Below are 27538 nucleotides of genomic sequence, written 5' to 3' on the forward strand. Positions count from 1 at the left end.
GAGGTCCCAGGCTTTTAAACAACCTGATCTCGTGTGAAATAATTGAGTGAGAGCTCTCTTATCACCATGGGGATGGTGTTAAACCATGCATGAGGGATCTGTATTCATGACCCAATCACCTCCCACCAGGCCCTGCCTCCAACACTGGGAATCACATTTCAACATGAGATTTGGAGGGGACAAACACTCAAACCATATCATATCAACAGCCTTGAGAAGGACCTCAGAACCTCAAGAATGACATAGTGGGGAGTTACCTGGGTTTGTTTTTTTGCCTCATATATCCCAAACTTTTAGCTGAAGAAGCTGGCAACCTGAAAATGCCAACAGGTACAGAAAAATAAATGCCCCAACAAAAGGCTACTCTCTCCAGTAAGACAGAAGACAGATAACTTTTATACAGTAACAGTTCCACTTCAGTCAAACACCACAGAAAAAGCTGTGGCCCCCACATCCTCTCATGTCAGCAAAGACTAAGTGAGGACCCTAGACTTCCATACTGTGAGGCTGTAACGAGGCCCCTCAACACCCCTGAAGTTGCTGAAGTTGTGTCAGAGAAGTCCATGTAGGGAGCTTAGACTAATTCTCCAAGCAGTAGCAAGCCCCCAGAATCATCATGCAATGTTATTGGAGATGACCTGGGAAGCATGGACTTCCATCCCCACACAACAGTAAAAAGGTGCCTTTCCCTCTAGGTAAAAGGTGCCAGAGGAGGTCTAGTGGTGAGTCTGAACTATTACTGTTACCTGTTAGTAAAAAGAACATACCCACCATGGTGTCAGTGGAGATCAGCTGTGGACCTGGAACTTCTATCCCTGCCTAGCAAAATGAGGAACCTTCCCTACTTCCATCCCAAATCAGACATCAACAAAGACTGAGTGGGGAACCTGGACTTCTACCTCAGAGAAACAGAAAGTTTAAGATCCAGAATCTCATAATATGAAAATGTCCAGGTTTCAATTGAAATTGCTTATTATACCAAGATCCAGGATAATCTCAAACTGAAGGGAAAAAAGATAACAAATGCCAACACTGACATAATAGAGATGTTAGAATTATATGACAAAGATTTTAAAGTAGTCATCATAAAAATGCTTCAATGAGCAATTATGAACACACTTAAAACAAATGAAAAATAGAAAATGTCAGCAAAGAAGTAGAAGATAAAAAGAAGAACCAAATGAAAATTTTTGAACAGAAAAATACAGTAACCAAAATAGAAAGCTCAATGGGTAGGCTCAACAGAAGAATGCAGGGGACAGGGGAATTAATTGATAAACTGGAAGACAGAAATTACCCATTATGAAACACAGAGAAAATAGATTGAAACAAACAAGGAAAATTTACAGAGCCTCAGGGACCTGTGGGAGTATAACAAAAAAAAATCTAACATTCAAGTCATCGAAGTTTCAGAAGGAGAGAAGAAAGTAGACAAGGCTGAAAAGTACTCAAAGAAATAATGGTTGAAAACTTCCCAAATTAAGCAAGAAACATCAACCTGCACATTCAAGAAGTTGAGTGAACTCCAAACAGGATAAACTCAAAGAAATCCACATGACGACACATCACAATTAAACTTCTGAAAACTAAAGACAAAAAGAAAAATCTTGAAAGCAGCAAGAAAGAAAGAGCTACTTTACCTATAGGGTAAGACAATTTTAATTATAGCAGATTTCTCATCAGAAACTATGGAGGCCAGAAGGAAATAGGACAATATTTTTCAAGTGCTGGAAGAAAAGAACTGCAACCCAGAATACTATAGCAAAAGTTATTTTTCAGGAATAAAGGAGAAATCAAGACATTCTCAAATAAAGAAAAACTAAAAGAATTTGTCATAAGCAGAACTACCCTAAAAGAATGGCTAAAGGAAGTCCTCTAAAAAGAAAGGAAAAGATAAAAGAAGAAACCTTATAATGCCAGGAAGAAAGAAAGAGCATAGTAAGCAAAACTATGAGTAGATGGGCTTTCCTTTTTCTCTTGAGTTTTGTAAATTATGTTTTATGATTGAAGCAAAGATTATCACACTGTCTAATGTGGTTCTAAATGTATGAAGAGAAAATATTTAACACAACTATCTTATAAACAGGGGAGAGTAAACTGATGTAAATCTACATTTATAGATTATTTCAATTAGCAACAATAGAAAACACATTTTTTTCCAAGTGACCATAAAATACGTACCAAGATAGATCATATTCTAGCCCATAGGACAAAGTTAACAGAATTAATTAGAACATAATTTAAAAGAGTTAAACTCACACAGAGTGTGTTTTCCAACTATGATGAAATCAAAATAGAAATAAAAATAGATAATAGGAGAATCTTCAAACATTTGGAAACTAAACAACACACTTCAAATAATACATGGGTCAAGAAGGATATCTCAAGGTAAATGGTTGTGTTTTTTTGTTTTGTTTTGTTTTGTTTTGTTTTGTTTTTTGTTTTGGCACAATCTCAGCTCATGGCAGCCTCCACCTCCTGGGCTCAAGCAATCCCCCTAACTTAGCCTCCTGAGCAGCTGGGAGTACAGGAGTGCACCACCATGCCCAGCTAATTTTTGTATTTTTGTAGAGACAGAGTTTTGTCATGTTGCCCAGACTGGTCTCGAACTCCAGAGCTCAAGCAATCTGCCTGTCTCGGCCTCCCAAAGTGCTGGGATCATAGGCATGAGCCACCACACCCAGCCTCAAGGTAAATTTTTTTAAAAGCATTGAAGTGAATGAAAATGGAACTACAGTATATAAAAACTTGTGGGATGCAGCCAAAGCACCACTGAGAGGAAAATGCATAGCACCAAAAGCATATATTACAAAATAGGAAAAGTCTCAAATCAATAATCTCTGATTCAAGAATCTAGAAAAAGAAAAGCAAAATATACCCCAAGGAAGAAGAAAGAAGAGAATAATGCAGATAGGAGCAGAATCAATAACACTGAAAAGAGAAAAATAATACAGAAAATCAATGAAACAAAGAGCTGGTACTCTGACAAAAACAGAGGGAGAGAGAGAGAGAACTCACAAATTGCCAGTATCAGAAATGAAACAGGAGCTATTAGTAAAGACCCTACAGACATCAAAAGAATAATAAGGGAGTACCACAACAATTCCACACACATAAATTTGACAACTTAGACAGAATGGCTCAATTTCTTGGAAAATACAAGCTACCACAACTCAATCAATATGAAATGGAATTTCATTTGAATAGTTCTATAACTATCAAGGAAGTTGAGTTCACAATTTTAAAACTCCCAAAAAAGAAATCTCAATACCAAGATGGCTTCACAGGATAATTCTACCAAATGTTTAAGCAAGAATTAATACCAGCTCTATACAATCTCTTCCAGAAAATAGACGAGGAAGGTAAACTTTCCAATTTTTCTTTTTAATTTTCTTTTTTTTCTTTTCTTTTCTTTTTTTTTTTTTTTTGAGATGGAGTCTTACTCTGTCACCCAGGCTGGAGTGCAGTGGTGCAGTCTCAGCTCACTGCAACCTCCGCCTCTCAGGTTCAAGCGATTCTCCTGCCTCAGCCTCCTGAGTAGCTGGGACTACAGGCCTGTGCCACCATGCCCAGCTAATTTTTGTATTTTTAGTAGAGACAGGGTTTCACCATGTTGGCCAGGCTGGTCTTGAACTCCTTACCTCAAGTGATCCACCTGCCTCAGCCTCCCAAATTGCTGGGATTATAGGCATGAGCCACCACACCCAGCCCCCAATTTATCTTTCAAAGCTCAGATTATCCTGATATCAAAATCAGATAAAGGATAAAAATAAGAAACTACAGGCTAATATCCTTCATGAGTAGATGTAAAATTCCTTAACAAAATATTAGCAAATTTAATTTGGCAACATATAGAAGGAATTATATATTATACCACAAATAGAGCATATTCTAGAGATGCAAAATTTGTTCAATGTTTTGAAAATCAATCAATGTCATCCACTATATTAACAAGCTAAAGAAGAAAAATTGCATAATTATATCAATCAATGCAGAAAAAGCATTTGATAAAATTCAATATCCATTTTTAAAACTCTCAGAAAAATAGAAATGAAGGGGAACTTTCTCAGCTTGATAAAGAGCATCCACCAAAGAACCAACAGTTGACATTATGTTTAGTTATGAAGACTGAATGCATACTAAAGTGAAATGTCAAACTCAACACCAAAATTTAAAAATATAATACTATTTTTAATCATTCAAAAAATTAATTACTTAACTATAAATCCAACAAAACATGCATAGGACTTATGTTGAAAACTACATAATGCTGATGAAAGAAATCAAAGATCTAAGTAAATGGAAAGCCATATGGTATTCATGGACTGGAAAACTCTGCATAGTAAAGATTCAATTCTCTCCAACAAAAACAATTTTGAAAAATAAAGTGGGAAGAATCAGCCTACCCAATTTTAAGATTTACTATATAGCTACAATAATTAAGACACTGTGGTATTTGGAGAGTCATACATATCTAGATAAATAAAACAAATAGAGAATCTATAATTAGACCCAAAATATATCCCCAACTGATTTTGACAAAAATGTAAAAGAAATTCAGTGGAGTAAAATAACCTTTTTAGCAAATGGTGCTGGAGCAATTGGCATCCACAGGCCAAAAAGAAAAAGAAAAACCCACCTTGACCTAAGTCAAACAGTTTGTACCATCATTAGCTCAAAATGGATCATGGACTTAATGCAGTTTTTACAGTAATTTACTCAAAATGGATTAGGGACTTAAATGAAAAATGTAAAAACATAAAAAGTTTAGAAAATAACACAGAAGAAAATCTCTAGGATCTAAGGCTAAGCAAGGAGCTTTTAGACTTAACACCAAAAGCACAGCCCATAAAAAGAAAAATCAATACATTGAACTTCATCAAAATTAAAAACTTTTTCTCCATGAAAGACCCTGTTAGGAGGGTGAAAAGACAAGCTACAGAGTGGGAAAAATATCTGCAAACCACATATCAGACAAAAGACTAGCATCTAGAATATATAAAGAATTCTCGAAACTCAATAGTGAAAAAAAAAGTAAACAATCAAATTAAATGTCACCTTGACTAAATTGGGTTCTTGATTACATTGTGGTTTAAAAAAAAAAAAAAGCAAACAATTCAATTAGAACATGAGCAAAGACACGAAGAGACATTTCACCAAAGAAGATGTACTAATGGCAAATAAGCACATGAAAAGATGATCAACATCATTAGCCATTAGGGAAATACAAATTAGAACCAATAACAATAAGATGCTACAACATACCTATCGGAATGGGTAAAATAAACAATAGTGCCAATACCAAATGCTTACAAAGATACAGAAAAACTGCACTCATACATCGCTGGTGGGATTGTAAAATGATATAGCCACTCTGGTAAACAGTTTGGCAGTTTCATTAAAGGAGAAAAAAATAAACTAAACTAAAACTGCAACTATCATATAACCTATAATTGAACTCCTGGGCATTTATCCCAGAGAAATAAAAACTCTGTTCACACAAAAACCTGTAAGTGAATGCTATAGCAGCTTCATTCATAATAGCCAAAACCTAGCAACAATGCAGATGTCCCTCAATCAGTGAATAGTTAAACAAACTGTGGTAAGTCCATTTCATGGAATATTTCTCAGCAATAAAAAGGGAACAAGCTCTGGGTAGATGCAACAATTTGGAGAATTATGCTGAGTGATGAAAGCCAATCCCAAAAGGTTACATACTGTATGATTCCATTTATACGACATTTTTGAAGAGACAAAATTATAGAAATGCAGAACAAATTAGGGGTTGCTAGGGATGGAGAGGGCAATGGGAGAGAGGTGGGTGTGGCTACACAAAGGCAACACGAGGGTCATTTGTGGGGGTGGAAATGTTCTGTATCTGAACTGTATCAATGTCAGTAACCTGGTTGATGCTGTACTATAGTTTTGCAAGATGTTACCATCAGAGAAGCTGGGTAAAGGGCACATGGGATCTTTCTGTATTATTTGTTCCAACTGCCTGTGAATCCACAATTCTCTCAAAAGAAAAGATTTAATTTTTTTTTTTTTTTTGAGATGGAATCTTGCTCTGTCACCCAGGCTGGAGTGTGATGGCGCAGTCTCGGCTCATTGAAACCTCTGACTCCCGGGTTCAAGCCATTCTCCTGCCTCAGCCTCCCAAGTAGCTGGGACTACAGTCACGTGCCACCACATCCGGCTAATTTTTGTATTTTTAGTAGAGATGGTGTTTCACCATGTTGGCCAGGCTGGTCTTGAACTCCTAACCTCAGGTGATCCACCTACCTTGGCCTCCCAAAGTTCTGGGATTACAGGTATGAGCCACCGCGCCCAACCAAAAAGGTTTAATTTTTATAAAAGCACATGCAGTTTATAATTCCATAGGGCAAGCTTCCAATAAATGAGTTTGTTTTTTAAGTGTAAATTGTTTTAAAAAATGTATATGGAAATGTATATGTATACAGAATGTATATTTCATATATACATTTATATATAATATATATACATATTAGAGAGAGAGAAGGAGAGAGGGAGAGAGACAGAGAAATGCATGGACTTTTTAAATGTCTGTACAGAGCCCACAGAAGGGGAAAGCACAAATCTCTTGTGGAGAAGGGTCATCCAGACTCAGAGGTTAATGAGATCTCATCTCCTAGATGTCCCTAAAGGGAACCTCACACAGACACTTGGACCTCTGCCTGCCAGCTCCAGTCGATACACAATGCCCCTGTTCCCTCTCTGCCTCACCTCCCGTCTGTCACTGTCCTTCACTCACAAAGTCACTAGAGAACTCTATTAGTTAGGAAAATAAATGGTAGCTGCTGTAACAAATGACCCCAAAATTTCAGTGGCTTGACATAATAAAAATTAATTTCTGCTCATAACATATATTTGGGATGTTCCTGGTTGGACGACTCTCCTGGGAGGTTCTCCTCTTAGTAGTACCAGAGACCTAGGCTGCCACCATCCTGTAGCTTGAACATCAACCCAGCATTAGCCAGTCAGCAAATGAAAGATTGTGGAAATGGAACCAGACGAGATGAGGGCGAGGCCTAGGAATGGAGCACATAACTTCTGCCCACTCTCCTTTGGCCATAACTCAGATTGATGATCTCATCTAGCTACAAGGGGGCTGGGAAATGCAATCTTGCTCTATGTCTTTATAGCATCATTTCTGCCCTTCCTGGTTTGCCCTACAATGGTCCCTAATCATGAAACACCAATGTTCACACCAAAGATGCTATCTCCTGATGCTCATCTTCACATGCCAGAGCAGGGCGGGCTCTACGGCAGGAAGAAGAGCCTGCTCTGCACTTCCGTCCTGCCTGGTTACCCAAGACTGAGGCAGCCCAGCTTGTGTCGAAAGTCTGCAATGAGACCCATCAGCCTCAGGCCTCCATCCTCTCCCCGTCAGAGCCCCAAGGAAGTCCAAGAGGTCAGATCAGGGACTCCTACTACCCCATTCCCCCCATGATCCTGGATATCTCCTTCCATTCATGTCCCCTTCAGCCTCCCTTGAAGACTCCCTTGAAGACAAAAAGAACTTCCTTCTGCCTCCGTAGGCCAGCTTGGGGGATATGACTTGAAGAAGATTAACACCCTGAAGGCCCCCAGCCCTGCAAGCATGCAAGCAGCTAAGCTCTGCATCTCAGCCAGGAGTCCTCAGGGAACCCTGCTGCAGTGAAAGGGATGCAATGAGCCCAAACAGGGTTAAGGGAGGAGCAGATTGTGGTGGGAGGGAGGATATACAGAGATCTGCCTCAGACATCTTGTGCTTACAGATGCCAGGTGTATATATGGGTTGAGAGCCCAGAAGAGAAATCCAGACCAAGGTAATCCACATATCTTATATTTGATAGGCTACAGACTCAGCTGCTGTTGCAAAACCCCAAAATAACAGTGACATAAATGAGATAAGGATCCACTCTCTCATCGGCATAAGGAATCACAAGCATAAGGACTGACATAATGCTCTGAGGGGTCAAGGCCCAGGTTCCTCCATCTGGTTGCATATGCGTAGTCCAAGATGCCTCACTACCACCTACACACCAGCCAGAAGAAAGGGTGCACTGGGCAAGGGAGACCAAGCTCCTTCCCTTTGGGGGCATAATGCTAAGACATGCACACATTGCTGCTGCTCACATCCCAGAAACTGGTCAGAAGCGTGCATCTAGCTGAAAGGGAGGCAGGGCAGTGTAGTCATTATTCCAGGCAGCCACATACATGGTTTATTTCATCGCTATGAAAGAAGAGGAGAAGGGGTGGTTAGGAATCTCTGCCATACACCCCTCAGAATGGATTATGGACCCCTGTTAGCACAATATTTTTGAGCACATAAACCCCAATATATTTATATTTGTTCATAATTAATATCTATGCCAATATGTATATTAAATCCTTGTAAAGCTTATTTTTTCCTTACTTTTTAGATAAAAATAAATGTGATATTTTTCTTCTCATACCCCAAGAGATCATCTGGCACATGCCTCGTTGGAGATCACTAAAGATGCAGATTTGTAAATCAACAGCAAATAGGCAGTGGCTGCAGCTCTGGAGTTGAATGGGATCACCCAAGAAGAGACAAATAGAGGCAGAAGAAAGCTCCAAGGATGAGAAATTGGGAAACAACAATATTTAAGCTGGGGAAAAATTTTAAAAGCAGGAGTGATCTAAGAAACTGAGCAGGAGCCGGCCAAGAGACAGGAAGACAAATGAGAACGAGTGTTTCTAAGGAAATCTGAGGAGAGGAGAGCTTCACAAAACGTCACGTAGGATGAAGACTGAAAAGAGGCCATTGATTTGCCAATGTGAAGGTCATTGGTGACCAGGGTAAGAACAGAAGAATATTAGGATGAATAGGCAAGAAAGAATTTGATAGCACATTTGATTCTATGGGCAAGGAAGGAGGTAGCCATGGAAGGTTTTTGAGTGTGGAAGCCTCATGATGACAGCAAAATGTGAGGAAGAGTCATGTGGGCATTTGCATGAAAAGTAGACCAGAGGATCCAGAGTCTAGAGTCTGAAGTCCCCCTAGGGTGTCAACCCAGGAAATGGCCTCAAACAAAGCATATGGCTTAGGAGAAATGGAAATGACCCAGTGACAAATTGATATGGAGACCTATCAAAAAAGATTGACTCCAAGGTTTTGGGTGCTGGTAGCTGAGAGGATGGGAATGCCATTGAAACCATTGTTCCAGGAGGTTTTGATGGGGAAATGGGATGCCTGGTGGACCTGCCCAGGAATGCTTCCTGGGGAGGGTACTGTGAGCATGTCAACCCGAAAATGCCTGCTCTCCCATCCTGGGCTACTGCCACATGCCTTGGCTACTCAAGTGCTCAAGTTCAGAGTCCCCACCCTCTTTCCCCAGCAGTTCCAAGGATGTGTTCATCACCGAATGCTGTCCCAGAGACCCTCTGACCAGCCAAGCTAACTTTAGTGTGTCTCTGGGGACTCTGAGGTTGTCACTGAGGACAAATGCAGCTGCTCCTTCCCAGGCAGTGACAAGCTCAATAATGTGGTCAGCAGCAAGGGCTGTCCACTGGCACTGAAGCAGGACATAAAAGGCCATGGTGCAGCTCATCTATGAGCAACCTCACACATAGCTCTAGGAGTTGGGGTCACCCTTGCCCTAACCATCCTCAGCCATTGTCCATTGTTTAGGATGGTCAAGAAACGGGTCAAGAGAAAGAGGATGTAATGAACCCCTGTGAGCACTTGAGGAAGAAGGATCCCATGCTCAACAGCCACAGTGTGTCCTTCTGGAATGACCCTCTGTGTCCTCTACCCCAAGGGGCCTCTCCCAGGGATTCTGGTCCACCCGGCTAATGGGCTGTGCTGAATCAGGATGGCCTGCAAAGCCCTCCCGGGGGGTGCTCCCTGGCTGCTTCTTTCTCAGGCCCCTCATGGCTTAGGTGTGGGTTGGGTTGCAGGACAAGAATGGTGAAAATAATTCAGGAAACTGCTCACTCGTTCTGCTTCTTGGACAGTCACACTTGGGACTTGAATGAGCCTAGGCACCCGGAGGCACAAATACTGTTCCAGTAGCTCTCTCTGGGCTAAGCTTTGCCCTAGATCTGATGCTCTTCAGGGTCAGGAACTTCAGTGTGATCCTGGGAGTTGGGGAAAGCCTCCCTCAGGCTCAAGAGAGACCCCTGAACTTAGATAATGGTTCTCACTGGAGACACTAATGTGGGAGAGAACAGGAGAGAGCCACTCTTTTCCTCACTAGGAATAAAGGCTCCTGACCTGATTCCCTCTGCATTGACACTTCCTCCATCAAATTATTTTAAAGTTAGCATAGGAAACTATGAGTCTCATAAAAATAAACGAGCTAGTCCTGATATTTGGGCTAATACCAATACTTTCAAGGATAAAGCAGCTATATGGTGCCCTGGATACAACTATGGGGCTCATCTCAGATTTCTTGGGCATCTCAGAGAGTGGAACTCACTTAACACTTACTGAGCCTCCACTGTGCAACAGGCCTACCCTCTGAATCTTGAATGATGAAGAGGAGCTCAAACAAAGGATGGAAGGTGTTCCAGGCTGAAGGAATAGTGTGTCCGAGGAACCAAGAGAGAGCAAGAGAGACTGAGAGAGAGCATTCTGTGCCTTAAACAAATGGTTGACTTCTAGATTGGTTTGGTCACAGCAGAGAGAGGGAAGGAAGCAGTAATCCCAGGGCCAGAGGAATAAGCCCTGGCCAGATCCTGACATGTGTTATGTGGCTGGAAGCTTGGGTTTTATCCAGAGGGCAATGGGAGCCATTGAAAGATCTTAGGCAGAGAGGAGACATGATGGGACTTGTTTTAATAGAAATGTAGCAGAGTGGTTTACCAAGAATGTAATGTGGCCAAATGGCCTATTGAGAGAGACTAGCTGTATCTTGCTTTCTCCATTGTAGGCTCTTGCTAAAGAATGAAAGGTATTTCAGCTCTTCTCCTCCTCACTCCCACCCCAGGAAGGGAGCCAGGCTTTTATGTCTTTGAGACTTGGGCTTTCCTTGCCACAGGGGGAGCTGACAATGTTTTTGTGTGTCTTGAAGAAAAAAAAAAAAAAAAAAAAAAAAAGAAGTTGCCAGGCCTTTCTGCCTCTTTGTATTTGAAGGCCTGGGCCTAGCCAGAGAGTGTTGAGGTTAAGAATTAAAGAGAGGAATGACCGAATTCAGAGAGTTTATGAGATGTCCGGGGGTTCAAGGGAGGCTGAGGTCCCCAGGACTTGGTGAGTGATTGGTTATGGAGGTGAAGAGAGGAAGGAGTGGAGAATGGCTTGTGGGTTTCCACTTGGACTGATGGGGAAATGGGTGGTGCTACTAGTCACAATAGAGGAGAGGATGCGTTCTCTCTTTCTTTCATGGGAGAGAAAGTCCCCATAGATCTGAGCCACAAACAGCTGTGACTCCCACCCCAGCCAGGAACTGGCACCTTGACAACCCTTGGGGGAGAGAAAGAAATCAAGTGGCAACCCTGCTGCCAAGTGCCCCATTGGCCTCTCCTGCCTGAGCACTGGCCAGTGAGAGTGTCTCCAAGTCTGGTGCCGAAGGGAGCGGACCACCCTTTGCACTGATGGGAAATCTTCAGAGCAGGCTCCAGCCTCCAGCATGGACTCAGAGGGCCGGGCTGGGCCACAAAGAGGGGTGTGAGACAGAGCCCATCCCACGGGCTCTCCGGCCTCATTTTCCTCGTTGGTAAAACTAGTGCTTTGAACCTGATTCTCTGCACGGCTTCTTCCAGCCTGAGCCTGTGAGGACTGGCTGGAGCACCAGATGAAGCAGAATGCATTGTCACAGCACATTGGCAGGAGTGTGAAGTGGCCAGATGCCCATGGGGTCAACAGGGATGGATTCCTAGAGCAGAATCTAGGGGACCTGGCAGCAGCCTCCTCAGTTGTAAGTAAATTGAGGGCAACAGCCACTCTCTCTGCAGCCTCACTCTGGTCTCCTCTGCTGGGTCTAGGGCAGCTGCCTGGCGAGGGCCGAGGGCATAGCAGGTGCTAGTTCCTACCTGTTGACTGGGCCAGGGAGCAGACCAGCACCGCCACCCCTGGCTCCAGGCTCACAGCTCCTTCTCTTCACATTCTTCATCACCGTTCCTCCCGCACTTCCTGCTACTGCTTAGGGATGCAGTAAAAATAAAAAGGTGCCTCCTTTCACCAACCAACTCTCCTCTCCGTCCCTGCTCTCCATTATGCAGAAACCTCTGCTTTCCTGATTGTCGAATTCCTCTTACTTGATTACCTTCCCCAGGAACAGACTCCTCTGAGAGACAAGAGAATATCTGACCCATGGCCTGATGCCCTGGAGGGGTGGGAAGGGAAGCAGTTCCTAGCAAGAGAAACATAACCAACTTAGCTAAGCAAACTGCTAAGGGCCAAGCTTTACAATGGCAGTGCATAGACAGTCAGATGAGAAAGTGTTATCCCCATTTTGCAGATAAGGAAATTAAATCTCAAAAAGTGAAAGAATTTACCCAAGACCACAAAAGCGGTACAAATCTTGGCTTCTTTGTGTTTCCTTTCCATCCCCTCAAAAAGACTCTTACTGACCGTTTACTTTGCACTGATCACTGTACCATGCCCTGCAGAGTCAAAGACCAATGAAGCAATGTTGTATAGCCTTCAAGCAGTCGCAGTCTAGAGGGGAGACAGACATAGAGTGTAATGAGTGACACATGGGAGGCATGGACAAAGTCCTGTGGGACTTCAGACCAGGACAGGGGAAACAAGGCTTTCCAGGGGAGGTGACGTGAAGGAGAGTCCCAGAGGATGAGTCACAGTTACCGAGCAGAGCAATGGGCAGAACTGCTTGCTGGCCAAGGGGCCAAAGCAGGAAAGCACGCAGCTTAATTGCCCAGCCGAGCAGCTTTCCCTCATCCCCAGCCGCACCCCCGCCGAAGCCCCACCCAAACCAGGAGGCTTCCCGCCAGGATGTTGGGCCTGTGAGAAGCTCAGGGTGATGCCCTCCCTCTCCTGGCCTTTCCTTACCAAGGCCTGTGGGACTTGAGATGCTGCCGGAAGCCTGGCTTCCTGGGGAAGGGGTCTGCTGAGGCCCTCCTGACAGCCGCAGCCCCCCTCCTTCAGCCCAATCTTCAGTTTAGCTAAACTGTTGGATCCCTTTGGGTTTGATACCATCTAATTGGTTGTGGCTAATCCCATATTAACTTCTCCCGCAGAAGCTAGAGGGCCTCTCCCCACCCTCCATCACGTCCCAGCCCCTACAGAAGCTGCTGTTATCATGTTTATGAGCCTCCACAACCACAGACAGGCAAATTTGCATATAAATAACCTGCCAGCACTGGAGGCTGTGAGAAGCACCTGGTAACAACTCTGTTTATTACTCTGGAGAGAGAAAGGGAGCAAGAAGGCCTTGTGCGCTGGGTGGCCCAAGTGGGATGGCTACATTTCCACCTACCGATTAGCTGAGAAAGGGTCAGTGACCCCCAAACAGCAGAGGAGGAAGAAACGTAAAGCCGTGCAGCTCCTCCTCTTTGGGAAACCCTGGCCCTCGCAGCTAGAGACTGTAGAAGCCACCACGTCACCAAGGATGGTCCAGCCTGAAAATGAATGCAGGGAGCCAGGTATGAGCCTGGGCTTGGTGTAGGTGGGGAATGTGAAGCAGAGAGAGGAGTCCTGTCCTCAAAGAACTGTCTACTGCAGCACGCATGCTGCAGACCTGGGGGAAAGCTCTGACCAGACAAAACACGGAGGTGATGGCCCAAGGTGCAGGAGCAGGTCCTCCCAGTGAGAAGGCTTCCAGGAGGAAGACCTTGGTAGCTGTGGTAGACCTTGCCCAGGTGAGGAGCAGAGGAGGAAACACTCCAGACTGGAGGGAATGAAGTGAGGCCCTGTTGAATGAGTCCTGTACTGAGTGGACTGAGGGGCCTGGGGAATAGGGAGATGGATTGGAAGAGCAGCAGAAGATACAGCTGGAAGGGAGGCTGAGTCTGCTGTAGTGTCCCCATATGACCAAGTTGTGACTTTACCTCCTAGATCTTCAACATTTTTGAAAAGGTGAATGACATAAAGGCAGCTCTGTGGGCTAAAAAGCTATTGCTACTGAAGTCTCCATCGAAATGTTGAATGGCCCAAGGGTTCCCTAAGAAGGCAGGGAGGGACACCCCTTAACATGATCTGATGTCTAATGAACACACCAGCAAGGCGGAATTCAGAACAGAGGTCACACCCCAGAGAGATGGGAGCCGGAGGTCAGTGGAAGTTGGGTCTTAGAGGAGGCAGGGGTGAGAAAGACAGACTCGGAAGACCCAAAATCTGTAGCTGGAAAGCAAGCAGAGGCCAGGGAGAATGTTGGAGAAATATAATTAAGAAAACAAAATCTTCTCTCAACCTAGAAAACCTCTCCTCAAAGGTAGTAGAGACAGAAAACAGTTTTATTATTGAGTAAGCATTAAACCAGGATGTGATATACATCACAGGCAATCCACTGAGAGATTGCAGAGACAGAATGCAAAATGCAATCTCAACTCCTATATAGCCAGATAGATACAATCCACTGCATACATGTTTTCAAGATAAACAGAAACTAGTCCTCAAGGAAGAGGGCCCGAAAACTTCAACCTAAAAAGAAATGCAGAAAGACAGGCTCTCCAGAACAAATGAGTTTATTTGGGAATAGCAGAAGATTGCAATCTGGGATATGTGTGTTATAACAGACCACAGGCATATCCAGAGGAGTCAGGGCAAAGGGGAGTCTTAAAGACACAGAGAAGTCCACACAAGCCGCTTTGAAACAAAGATCACAGGTCACAAGCTTGTCGTAGGAGCCAGCCTTTGTTCATCAGCCATTGCAAGGTGAGTGTCCTTGTGTGAGTGGCTTAGCTGGAACACTGCAATCTTGAGGAAGTTCTTGTGATAGTCCTGTTACAGGGATGTGTGTGTGACAGCTTCCTTATGGCCTCCCTCATCTCCGTTTGGTTAAGCGTTTGACATAGGTGACTCCATTTCGGTACTGGCAACTTTTACAACATCCCCATTTGTAACACATAGCTCGTCCTAACTTCACCTGGTAATTAGGGTGACCATCTGTTAGCTTATTGGCTTTATCCAGAGGAAAAACAAGTTTTGCAAATAGAAGCAGGAGACCCACCAAAGTTAGGCTCTTACTCTCTCACAAGAACTGGGAGAGAGGGGACACTCTCTCCTCCAATGTTAGGATTTCAAAAAATGGCTACCAGGTAACTTGAACCATGACTGGCAAGAGGCTTATTTCACCATTATAAAGATTTATGTATGTTTGAAAAGGACCTAGAAAGAAATTCTGATATGAAAAGAAAGAGGGGGAGAAGTCTCTTCTCTTATTTTCAGCAGGGAGAATTAAGTTTCTTATTTTAAACTTGTATTCGCCCTTCCAGGACCAATAGGGTTAGAAGTAGTTGAGCCTCCGTGGGGAAAGGACTGCTAGTAATATTCAGACCTGAGTTCAGATTCTAACCCTGCCTGGGCTAGCTGGGTGGACAAGTCAACCCTCCTCGAGTTGGTTTCCTCATCTTTGAAATAGGGATTATAATTTCTACCTCACATGGTCCCGAGGAATAAATAAGATCATATTTTAAAGTCATATGGAAGCAGCAGGCACTCTAAAATATTCATTCTTGAAATTAAATTGTGTAACATCGGCCAAGCACAGTGGCTCAGTGCCTGTAATCCCAGCACTTTGGGAGGCCGAGGCGAGTGGATCACTTGAGCTCACTGGTTTGAGACCAGCCTAGGCAACATGGTGTAACCCCATCTCTACAAAAATAATAATAATGATGATAATACAAGAAAATTAGCCAGGCATGGTGGTGACACGTGCCTGTAGTCCCAGCTACTCAGAAGGCTGAGGTGGGAGGTTGGCTTGAACCCGGGAGTCAGAAGTTGCAGTGAGCCGAGATCATGCTACTGCACTCCAGCCTGGGCGATAAAGCCAGACTTTGTCTTAAAAAAAAGAAAATGTGTAGCATCATAAGGGTTGGAACAGTCAGCTGGAGAGTAGTTCACTAAATCCCAAAACATTGACGCTAAGGGAGTCCTTCACAGCCTACATCAAATGGTCACAGGACAGGTCAGAGGGAAATGCTCCTCTGGGCAGCTGGTACAGGGAGCTTATTTCCCTAAGAAGTATCACAGTCAGAAAACATAACGAGGTAATGGAATGGTTTAGGACACTCATGAATGAGTCTGAATGGGCTGTTAAGGGGGAGGCAGGTGTTCAGCATGACCCTAACTCGGAGGTTGTGAGCTCTAGGATAAAGCCTTTCCCATTAGATGGCCTTGGAAAGACTGCCACAGGCGAGCTCTGGCCAGACAGATGAGTCACAGGTTTGGAATTGGGGGATAATTCTTCTATTTCTGTACACCACATCCCACAGGACCGCCCCCCACCCCCCCGCCCCCAGATGACAGACCGAATTTGCAGTGGTACCATTTCTACTGCTCCCCTGCCATTTCTGCTAAAAGAACAGACTTGGGTGTCCCCTATGCCCACCACAGGATGGCTACCCACCTGTGCTCTAGAAAGGCCACTTCTCTTGAGCTGGGGGAAGGAGGGCACAAAGGCCTCCGGTCCCCAGGCAGTAACACCACAGACAGCCTCTGCACTTTCCAGGCCACCTCGCCCTGCCTCCGTGGGATGCTTTCCTGTTGCCACAGCAACTGGATTCCCAGGGAACCTGTGGGCCCAGGCCACCATCTTGGGGAGTTCCTAATGATATGTTCTGAAAATTACAACATTTCAACCCAGGTCCCGTCGCGCAGCCCCACACTGGGGCTACTAAGCTAGAGAGAGAGGGTGTCCTGTGGTGAAACTGCATTTTCTGGTGCTTGCCTATTTGGGGCTGGGAGAGGTTGAGAGGAGAACTAGGCCATGGTTTCTAAGGTGTTCCCAGCTGGCTTGGCCAGGTCATCCCACCGTGGCCAGCACCCGCAGCGTCTGGAGGCTGGGAGGAGGAGCGCTCCCCTGTGATCCCTCCCATCTTCCCACTGCGCTTACCTCCCGGCCTCTCTCAGTTTCAGAAAGTGGCTTGCACAGGCCCAGTCAAGCACATTGGGTGGTAGAATGTGGTGCAAGGGAGGGTGGCTGGGGAACAAGCGGAGGGGCAGCAGGAAGTGGTGGGCTTTCATCTGGGGTGGCTAGGGGTGAGGGGGTCTGCTGGAGCAGACGGCAGGACCAGGGCAGGGCCATCAGGGGGCAGAACCAACAGGGAGGGCTAGAGCAGAGCTCAGCCCGGCGCTGGCGCTGAGGATGATTGAACTGGGCGTCGGGAGGGATTGAAGCTGGAGACAAAGGATTTGCTGCAGAACCCAGAGCCCTGATGGAGCACGGGGGACGCGTTGATGCAGGAGATAGAGGCTGCGGCCCCCGGGGGCGGAGGCAGAGGGGTGATTTAGCGCCTTGGAAGACAGGACAGGCAGGACCTGTGCTTCGGCACAGAGCCGCAGGCCGCTCCCATCCATCCCCGGCTGAAGGCTGCAGTGACAGAGGAGGCCCGGAGGAGGGAGGGATGGGAGGGAGACGTGGCAGCCAAGGGGAGAAGCACGAAGCTGGCTCCGGAATGCAGCCTGCAAGCACATTTTGCCTGCAACACTCAAACAAATTCCAGGGCAGCTTTTCTGGGGAAAGGGAAGCGAGGTTCAAAGAGAACATAATGAATTGGCTGAAATAAATAGCTAATTAGTTCCTCATAGCTTAGGAGGTTCACAGAAGAGGTCGCTGTGCACTGCAGTGGGCGGCAGCCACCCCTGCCTCACTGGACACAGGGCTCAGCTGGAGCTGAGGGGGGTCCTGAAGCCAGTGGCCTTAGACAGCAGCCCACCCAGACGCTTCTCCTTAGTGTCCCGGCAGCCCGCAGCAACCATGGCTGGGAAGCCTGATGGAGTCGGGAGAAGTGGGCATGTGGAGACAGGACCTGGGGGGTTCACTCCAGGCTCTTCAGCTGCCACCTTAGACACCTGGAATGCCTTCTCAGATCCCCGTTTTCTGAACTAAAAACTAACACCTGCCCTGTCTGCTCCCAGGGTTTTTGTAAGAATCAAATGAGGAACAGTTATGGCCCAAATGCTGGCGGTTATCCTCTATTAGACACAAGCGTCATGAAGGAAGGGGGTAAGCTTGCTCCCTTTGGGACCCCCTGCATTTAACATAATGCCTGGCACAAATATTTGTTGGGTCTTGTTGAGTAAACATGGAGTTTTCACTGCCTTGGTGGTCCCTTTAGTCATCCATACACAGATGGAGCCCAGGAAACTTGGAGGCTCAACCTAGGGATATTCAGGTGTGACCCTGCCCTAAAGCCAACCCCCAAGTGATGTTTGGATCAACTGTAGTTTGGAAACATTGCCCCGAAAGACAAAGAATGGGAGTTATGTAAAGTTTCATGGAGGGGGTAGTCCAGGACCCCTGTAACGGGAGTGCATCTGAGCCCCTCCCCAGGGAGGGATTAGCCTTCCCATCCCTCTTGAGTTTTCTGAGTCAGAGGCAGAGACGAGGAGGGCCAGGGTCCTCCGTATGCTATTCAGTCTGATATTTGGAGGCCCAGAGCATATCAGTCTTCTTAAACTGCAGACACATTCTACACTAATTATAATTTGGATACAACTAGGAGTTAAGTGGCTGTTGACTAGTTGGCATGTTTTGTAGACCTGTAATCATTTATTAATTTTGATTTTGCAGTTCCCTTTTTGCATCTTGGAGCCAATCGATTCTTTTTTCAGGTATCCAGCAGTTCTGGAGGCCCTTGAAAGTTCACAGGACACAGGTACCAGGCCCACTGTCAGACAAAAAAGCAGCCAGGGAGAGAAAGGGGGGTGTGGCACCAGGATACCCCGTGCTCTCCTAGAGATGGGAGAAGCCACTGGGCCTGTGGCTGCTTTAACACTTTCCCAAGAAAGAGGAGACGTATGTTCTTGTTCCCAGAAACAGCCACCAGATGCTGTATGAGCCTGGACAAGCTGTGTGACTTGTCTGCGCTTCTGCTTTCCTCTTAGAACAAGGCTTGGGAAACAGGGCTGGAGGCTGCAGGGGAAAGAGGGTTACCGAGCATTCTCTCCCCTAAGCTGGAAGATGTGACTGAGAGCATTCATGGGTGGATTGGGACCGTGTGGTCTGGACACCTGGAGCAGGGCAGAGGGCATGTTTGTTTCCCTCTAGAAGGCAGAGACCCTCTGCCATGCGGAGGGAGCTGGCTCTCCCTCTGAAGTCCCTGCAAAGCAAGAAGGGGCCCAGTCAGACCCGAGTCTCATCACCCCAGCTCCCTGCCTGCCATAGACTGAGTGTGTGTCTTCCCACAGAATTCATCTGTTGAAGCTCCAAGCCCCAGTATGATTGCATTTGGAGACAGGGCCTTTAAGGAGGTAAATAAGCTTATATGAGGTCATGAGAGTAGGACCCTGATCCAATAGGATTAGCGTCCTTATGAGAAGAGACAGAAGCTGTCTTTCTCCCTCTCCCTCTCTCCCACCGCTTCTGCCACCAAACCCATTCTGCAATTCTCCAGCACAAATGGGTGTCCTACAATTCAGTCCTGTCCAGACACGAACTGCCCAGAGTTCACATGAGACTCCACCGCTTTCAGCCTCAGTCCCACAAGTCTGCCTTCCCTTCGGATGCCAGTCACTAGTCCCAGGGACCACCCATACTTCTGACCCACCCACCACCAGTCAGGGGTTCTCAGGGTCCCCTCTGGAGTTCAGTAATTAGTTCATACCGAATCACCAAGCATATACCAGTTTATTATAAAGGGTACAACTCAGGTGCAACCAAATGGAAGAGACGTGTAGGGCAAGGTACACAGGGTGGGGGGTAGGGAGGAGCAGAGTTTCCACGCCCTCTTGAGTTGAGACATGTCACCTTTCCAGAACCTCAACCTGTTCACCCACCTGCAAGCTCTCCAAACTCTGTGGCTTAGGGATTTTTATGAAAGTTTAATTTCATAAGCATGATCGAGTGAATCATTGGCCATTGGTAACTGAACTCACTCTTCAGAGTCACCTCATTAACACTCCAGAGACTTTTATCACTCAGTAGATTCCAAGGGTTTTAGGAGGTCTTTACCAGATCCCCCCAATGCACACCAACAGTGTGCCCCCCGACCCCCTACTGATTCCTCCCCACAAAGGCCATGGGCTTCCTTTGAGGGGAATGTTTTCTAGACCAGCATCATCCTGTACATCACATTGGTAATCAGGCCCTAAGAGGAAGACTGGAGAAATGGAAAGGAAGACAAAGTTACTCTCGCTATTGCTTTGAAGCCATGCACTGGGGATCTAAGTATCTACCTCCCGCTCCATTTTGCAGGCTGAATCCTCACATCTGGGGAGCAGGACCCAGCCCCTTTTTGGTAAATAAAGTGATGAGTCTCCTTTCTTCCAAGTGCTCACATGGCCTGGGCTTGGTTGATTCATGACTGTGACTTTTCTTCCTCCTTCTCTCACCCAAACATGCAAATACCCCACTGCCTGGAGGCTGGAGCGGCTAGAACAAGCTGCTGGGAGTGTGTGGACAGAGAGATGAAAACAAACCTGGCTCTTGATGATGTTTCTCCCTGGATTTTATAAGCCAGTGCCATTTCTCAGTGAAGTCAAATCCATGCGGTCCTCATTCATTTACACACTGGGCAAGGGTTTGCACAGAAGAGAGATGGAGACCCCAAGGGCCCCCTTTAGTTGATTTAACAAATCCCTTTCAAGCTTTAATTTTTTTTTATTAGGAAGCAGAAGTTGCCTGTTCCCAAACCACACATGTACGCACAGATACATAGGCATAACCCCCACTCCTTTCAAATTCTAATCTCTCCAAACCCAAAGACGGGAATATCCCCATGAACCAAGCTTTAGAGGGCACTTTTTTCCTCTTCTCCATTTAGCATCTGCTGGGAAATGGAAGGGAACCTGGGAAGAACTTGCAATAACTGGGAAGAAGCAGACGAAGTGCCACTCCTGCCTGATGATGCCAGCAGCCCTGCAGGGTCCTCCTTTATCCACTCAGCCCCACACCAAGAAGAATTTCAGAAGGCCAGTGGTGGCTCCAGACACACAGCTCGGGCCTGGATTTAATTTGTTTTGGTGAAAGGACCCTGGACTAAGAACAAGGACACGAAGAGGATGGGGCAGCCCTGAGACAGGTTTCTCATCCTCTCTCTGCTGGGCAGGACCTTCCAGAGGCATCCAGGGCAGCTCTCCACCCCCAATGCCAGATGCAGTATCAGGTGCACAGAGCACCAGAATAGGAGTCCAGAGACCTCAGCTGTGGGCCCAGCTCCTCAGTTGGTGCTATGTGACCTTGGTCAATTCACTGGATGACTGAGCCTATTTTCTTCCTCTGTGAAAATGAGTGTAGTGAAACGTGACTGCCTGCCAGAAACAGATGAGGAGGGGTGTGAAAATGCCTTGCCAAGTCCTTTGGAAAGGTGAGCTATTAGGGGTACTTATCTTAGACGATGTTTCTGGCAATCTTATTTATAAATCTTTTCAGGGCAAAGGATCCTGTAGCTCCCCCAGTAACAGCTGCCCTTGTCTCATAACTGTTTGGGAAGTCCTTCCCAGTATCCAACCTGAATTGTTTCTGAAACAACTTGTCCTGCATGTCGGAAGTGAACCTGAGTGTGTGTGAGACAGTTGAATTGTTCTTGGTGTGTTGCGTGTGTGCACACACACTCTGTGCACACCCCACTGTAGGAGAATGTTCTTGGTGAGGAAGAGGAAGGTCAGTGTGGGAGATTCTCACATCTGAGGCCTCGACCTGCAGAACTTTGAGCAGTGCACCACTGCCACTGCCCAACAAGTCACAGTAAGGTGGGAGTGCTGGGAGGGTGTCCCCCTTACCTCATAAGAAGAAAGCAATCTGAGCAGCTTTGACTGTTTTTCAAATCAATGGGTATGAAAATCCACCCAGAACTCGGGTTATGAAATGTGTCATTTTCATGTGTGAAATTTGCACCCGCTGACCTCATATCCTCCCTGAAAATGGGGGACTTTCTCACCTCCTACCTCGAATTTAATCTGCGTCTGATATGCTGGCAGACCTCAGACCCATCTGCATCTCTTGGAGCTGTTTCTTTCCACTTCGGAGTAAATGATGGTTCCAAGGAGCTAGGCTGATGGGAACAACGCCCACACCATGTGGATGCCTCTCTTCTCTCTCGCCTTTTTGGGGCCTCGTCTAGCAAACACGGAGGCTCCAGCGCCACAGAGATTTGCAGTCTGTCTCTGTCTGCACCCACAATTCAATCACACAACCCTGAGTGGGCATAAAAGCTGATTTTCTGTCCTAATGACTCCCTTAACCGAGCTGACAGCTGCCATCCCTCAGGGACCTGTGGGTGAGAGTGCTGGAGACCAATGATCCCCTTGCTTCTCTGCCCCTCTGCCCCCTGCCCCACCTCCTGTGTGTCTTTGAGGCTGAGGTGCCTAGATGACCACTGTGTGAATGTGCCCAGAGCTGGCAAGAGGAGAGAGTGGGCTAAGAGACAGAAGGTGGGCTGCGTGCTCCCATAGGGCTCTCCCTCTCCTGCCAGCTCCATCTTGAGTCCATTAACCTCGCTCTGTGTGTGCTGTGTTAATGGGCTGGGAAGGACAGATCGCCCCTCTCGCCTGCTGACAGGAGGGGGCTGCCACTTGTTGCCAACCTCAGAGGAGGCACAAGGTGCTTGGAGGGCAGGACCAGAGCCCAGGCAGGCCCTGGCTTATGGCCTGGCTTCCCCACTGCCTGTCAGAGGGAGGAAGCAGCTCCCCTGGGGTGACAAGATGGGCAGCTGGCAAGAAAATCCCTCATGCTCACTTTCCTCTCCATTGATCCTCAGATCTCCTCCTCAGCAGCTAAGGAGACTCAATAATGCACACTTCCTAAGTGCAGTAGAAGGACCTGTGAATAACAATCTCTTCTATTGGATTAACTCTTCCGCATCTGCTGTGTGGATCCCCTACCTCGCTGATGTGCTTGGAAGGCAGAGGAGGCTGCATGGTGAGGCCCTGCTGGAGCACAGGGAGAGGCCACTTGGCAGAGTGCAGCATCACAGCCGTGGGCGCCTGAGACCCAACCCCACCAGTGCCTCCATGGCTGTACCATGTTCCCATGCTTCATCATGCTGTCTCTCAGGGTGGGACCAGGCATGGTCTTATTCACCGAGGCAGGATTCTAAACTCCTGTTTAGAACCCTATGACTGGCTGGACAGGGGGTGGGCACCTGAGCCATGGGCAGCCAACTCATAGGCTGACCAGAGGCCTGATAAATGACTCAGTGCAGGAGGCAATTCACTCAACTGCAGTTATTTGAGCCAATCAGGCTCTCTCTCAATGGAAACAGGAAATAATAAAGCAGCTGGTGGGAGTAAGAGAAGTGAACGGAGACTCCCTGACAGCAGATGAGTCCGGCTGGTGGCAGAGTCTGGAAGGAAGAGCCACAAACTCTGGCTGCTGTAAGACCTCAGAAAGCCATGCCCTGAGAGCTCCACTGGATCCTGACCTCCCCGCCTCACCCAGTCTCCCAGCCCGAGCCTCATGAGGGCCTCCCCGTGCCGTAGCTCCTGATCTAGATGTTATCGTGAATATCCTTGCAATTAATCTCCATGTTCTGGCAGGCTCTGGATACGCTGGGGAAACAGCACAGGGGTTCATAAATTTGCCTGATTAAAAATCACATGGGCAATTTGTTAAACCTGCAGACTCCAGGGTCCCGTTTCAGACCATTGAATCAGAATGCCCAGGATGGACTCCAAGATGTGCACTTAACAAACACCCAGGGTGAGTCTTATGGCGAACTTGGGAGACACTGGTTTATTCCCATCCCCCTTAATTCATCCACATGAGTGTGCTGAATTGAATGTACAAACACCAAGTTGCTTAAAAAGAGAAAAACAAATACCATTTTGGGGGCCAGCCAGGCAAAAAAAAAAAAAAAAAAAAAGGATGTTGCACAAATTTCTCATCTCCTTCATCCTTTACCTGGCCCCCAGGCAGGCTTTTCTAACCGTTGGAGCAGTTTCCCTCTGGATGGATGTCACCAGGTGGATATGATGTCAGTGCCTTCTGGGGCCACTGCTGGACCAACAAGTTTAGTTGCAGAAACGAGGGAAGTCACACTTCTGTGGAAGAAATCTCTGGTTGTTCCCAAATATTCATTTTTCTCTCCTCTGTGGCAATAGTATTTTTAGCTGGACACATAGCAGCCCAAAATAAAGAAAACACCTTCCTAGCCTCTCTTGCAGTTAGATGGGGCCATATGACTAAGTTGTGCCAAAGGGATGCCACATGGGATGTGAGCAAAATGTATACAAGTTACAAATCAGGGCTATGGAAAGGGGCATGCCCTCCTCTTCCCCTTCACCCTTCCCACTGGCCGGAATGCAGACCTGGTGGTAAGGCACCTTAAACCACTGAATAAGGCCAAATCCCAGGATGCCAGAGCAATAAGGTAGAAGGGACCTGGGTTCCTGTACCAGGGAGCAGCTGCACCAATCCTGTTATAGGAGAGAGACGTACATTTCTAGTTTGTAAAAGCCACTGTTGTTTTGGAGTTTATTATAGCATTACTGCAGTTGAAACTGTATCTTAACTACAGAGTCTTAGTGCAGTTTCCACCCAGGGAATGTGTTCACCACAGCCATCCCACTTCATGGCAAGGCTCAACCCAGGAGAAAGCTTCCTCCACGCCCTCCCACCCATCAGAGCAGAGTCTGTGCTTACTGGGTCCTTGTACTTAGAGCCAGGACACCAGAAGCAGGAGTCACCTCCCACTGGCATAGTCACTGGCATTCTAGCACATTCCACACTCAGAGTGGATTTTTTTATAAAACCCTTTCCTCTATTCAACAAAATTATTTTCAGTAATAACCATGGAATGAAACAAATATTAATAATGGCCAGAAATGAAACACAAACAGTGGAAGTGTTCTTTTATTGAACCTCATATATATAATCATTCCAATAAAAGATTAAAAAAATACTTTAGGTAAATAATTGTCTAGTAATTAATAAGTGAATTTTAATAAAACTCAAACATTTGCAAATGGCACAATTTAGGCAAATACTAAATTGTGCCAATGATGTTATATTTTGTCTTTTTTTGGCTTCATTTTTTAGCTTTAAAATGATTAACAATTAAAACCTTTAAAAGAATAATACATTTTAATTTTAAAAACATGATTTTAAAGATATTATAGAGATAATATAAAGAAATAATAAAGATACTATTTTAAAGATATTTAAACTAAGCCAAATATTAAGCAAAATATTTTATGTATGAACTGAAACTTGCAACTACCAAACAAAAATATTATACTCTGTGGTTTCCACTTTGTTTTATTATTTTATATTTCAAGCAGAAATAAAAATTCTAGGCCGGGTGTGGTGACTCACCCCTGTAATCCCAGCACTTTGGGAGGCTGAGGCAGGTGGATCACTTAAGGTCAGGAGTTCAAGACCAGCCTGGCCAACATGGTGAAACCCCATCTCTACTAGAAATACAAAAATTAGCCAGGCATGGTGGTGCATGCCTGTAATCCCAGCTACTCAGGAGGCTGAGGCAGGAGAATTGCTTGACCCCAGGAGGCAGAGGTTGCAGTGAGCCAAAATTGCGCCATTGCACTTCAAGCTGGGTGTTGGAGTGAGACTGTGTCTCAAAAATAAAAATAAAAATAAAATAAAAAATTCAAAGTGGTCCCACAGAACGACAGAATTGACATTTGATGTAACTCAAGATTTGCTCCTTCTTGAAAATTAGCTGCTGCCATTGTTGATTGAGATTCCACTGTTTAAATGCAGAAATATGTAGTACCCCAAGAGTTAGGGACAAACTACACCTCAATAAAGCTCAACTCCAGATAATTATGAACTGACTCTTAAAACAATCACGTATAGGTAAGTCCATGTCTGTCAGAGGCCCTCCAAACAACTAGAAATTCTCTGAATTAACTTCCACGTGCATATACTGTTTATTAAAGAATAAGTCATAAAAGTGTGGACCAGGCACAGTGGCTCACACCTGTAGTCCTAGTACTGGGAGACCGAGGCAGACGGATCACTTGAGCTCAGGAGTTCAAAGCCAGCCTGGGCAACATGGTGAAAGCCTGTTTCTATAAAAAATACCAAAAATTAGCCAAGCTTGGTGGTGTACTCTAGTCCCAGCTATTTAGGGGGCTTAGGCCAGAGGATCACATGAGCCCAGGAGGTTGAGGCTGCAGTGAGCCAAGATAGCACCATTGCACACCAGCCTGGGTGACAAAGTGAGAACCTGTCTCAAAAAAAAAAAAAAAAAAAAAAGTAAAAGTGTGCCAGTTTGAAGGTTATATATTTATATATATTATCAATACTCAATTGTAACTGTCGCAATTATCAATACTCAATTGTAACTGCTGCAATTATTTAGAACTTAAACCAATAAAAGATTTTTTGGGAAGGAGAATTTTATCACTGATATTGTTTAGAATTTCCAGGGAATAGTGATTAAAGAAAAGCAGACTGACTTTTAGTCACTGTTGTTTCCAAGTTCTTTGCAGTGTGGACCTTGCTACCTGAGTCTGGGCCAACCCCCATCCCTGGCCCACCCTGGTATGCCTTGCAGCCCTTTGCTGTTACGTCCCCTTGTTAGACGTGGAGGTCTAATTATTTTTGGCTCAGCTGCTTTATCTTTCTCAGGAAGGCAAAGTTTGAGCAGCACACTAGAACCCCAAACACTAGTTTGAGGTCCTACCAATGAAAACTCATTTGCTATTTTTGCTTTCTTTTATATCATAGTACTTCCAGCTCATGAATGGGCTGACAGTTCATTGCCCTTCTTTATGAACCAAGGTAAATAACCACAGCAACATCCTTTGGGAATTACTGCACACTCTGTCTCTTGCAGAAGCTTGAGTGAGTTTTTGTTAAAAACAAAAGAGCCTCAGGAGGAGGGCAAGGGTCTGGAATCGGGATGAGGAGCCCGTGGTGGTGTGGGTGGGTGCTGGGAGGTGGCAGGCTGGAAGGGCTGCAAGCCCCGGGGGAGGGGGACAGACCTGGGATGTGGAACCCAGGAGACCACAGCAGGCAAGCCATCCAGCATCAAGGAAGTCAGTTACTTACCAATAGTAAGAAATAGTAAGAACTACTGTTTAGCCTTTTTAAAAAACAAAAAATTTTCTCTTTTATTCTTTCCAACAATTCTGCTAGATGGGCTTAGGGGAGTTAATACAGATTTGCTCAAGGACTGTCAGCTAGGAAGAGGGGATTTGAACCTATGGCTTTGCTCCTTCCCCACAATGCCTCTGACACTGTTTCCTATGCTGTCCTATAGCCAGCGGGGGCCTAGCCTAGGTTCTGGGATACAGATGGGGAGACCCCAGGCATCCTGGAGAGAGAGTTATGGAGTGAGGCAGGTACCACCTTACTACATGTGCCACACCAAGTACAAGGTTTGGGCACACATGCTAAGACACATGACCAGTTCTTAGAACTGGGGGCAAGATCAGGGCCTCATTACCAGCAAGCATAACTTGAAACAGAATCTCTGAGCATTCAGATAGGAATACTAATTCTCTTGGCCTGGGCTCAGAAGAAGAGGTGCATGCCTCATCATT

The 27538-nt window shown here is 45.8% G+C and overlaps 4 annotated features.

Moving 5' to 3' along the window:
• Positions 1–170: an enhancer, noted in NCBI's record as "experimental_19353 CRE fragment used in MPRA reporter constructs". NCBI's record gives its function as "activates a minimal promoter by MPRAs in K562 erythroleukemia cells, with activity observed for both the introgressed and non-introgressed 11:119915761 variant alleles {active_cell/tissue: K562}" and the evidence as "EXISTENCE:reporter gene assay evidence [ECO:0000049][PMID:34662402]".
• Positions 10622–11123: an enhancer, noted in NCBI's record as "NANOG hESC enhancer chr11:119926297-119926798 (GRCh37/hg19 assembly coordinates)". NCBI's record gives its function as "activates a minimal SCP1, AML or CMV promoter by ChIP-STARR-seq in primed H9 embryonic stem cells {active_cell/tissue: H9 hESC(primed)}" and the evidence as "EXISTENCE:reporter gene assay evidence [ECO:0000049][PMID:30033119]".
• Positions 16160–16360: a silencer, noted in NCBI's record as "peak1494 fragment used in MPRA reporter construct". NCBI's record gives its function as "represses an SCP1 promoter by STARR-seq MPRAs in K562 erythroleukemia cells {active_cell/tissue: K562}" and the evidence as "EXISTENCE:reporter gene assay evidence [ECO:0000049][PMID:32103011]".
• Positions 16491–17483: an enhancer, noted in NCBI's record as "H3K27ac-H3K4me1 hESC enhancer chr11:119932166-119933158 (GRCh37/hg19 assembly coordinates)". NCBI's record gives its function as "activates a minimal SCP1, AML or CMV promoter by ChIP-STARR-seq in naive H9 embryonic stem cells {active_cell/tissue: H9 hESC(naive)}" and the evidence as "EXISTENCE:reporter gene assay evidence [ECO:0000049][PMID:30033119]".

This window comes from Homo sapiens, chromosome 11 (assembly GCF_000001405.40).
Source record: "Homo sapiens chromosome 11, GRCh38.p14 Primary Assembly".
Taxonomy (NCBI): Eukaryota; Metazoa; Chordata; class Mammalia; order Primates; family Hominidae; genus Homo; species Homo sapiens.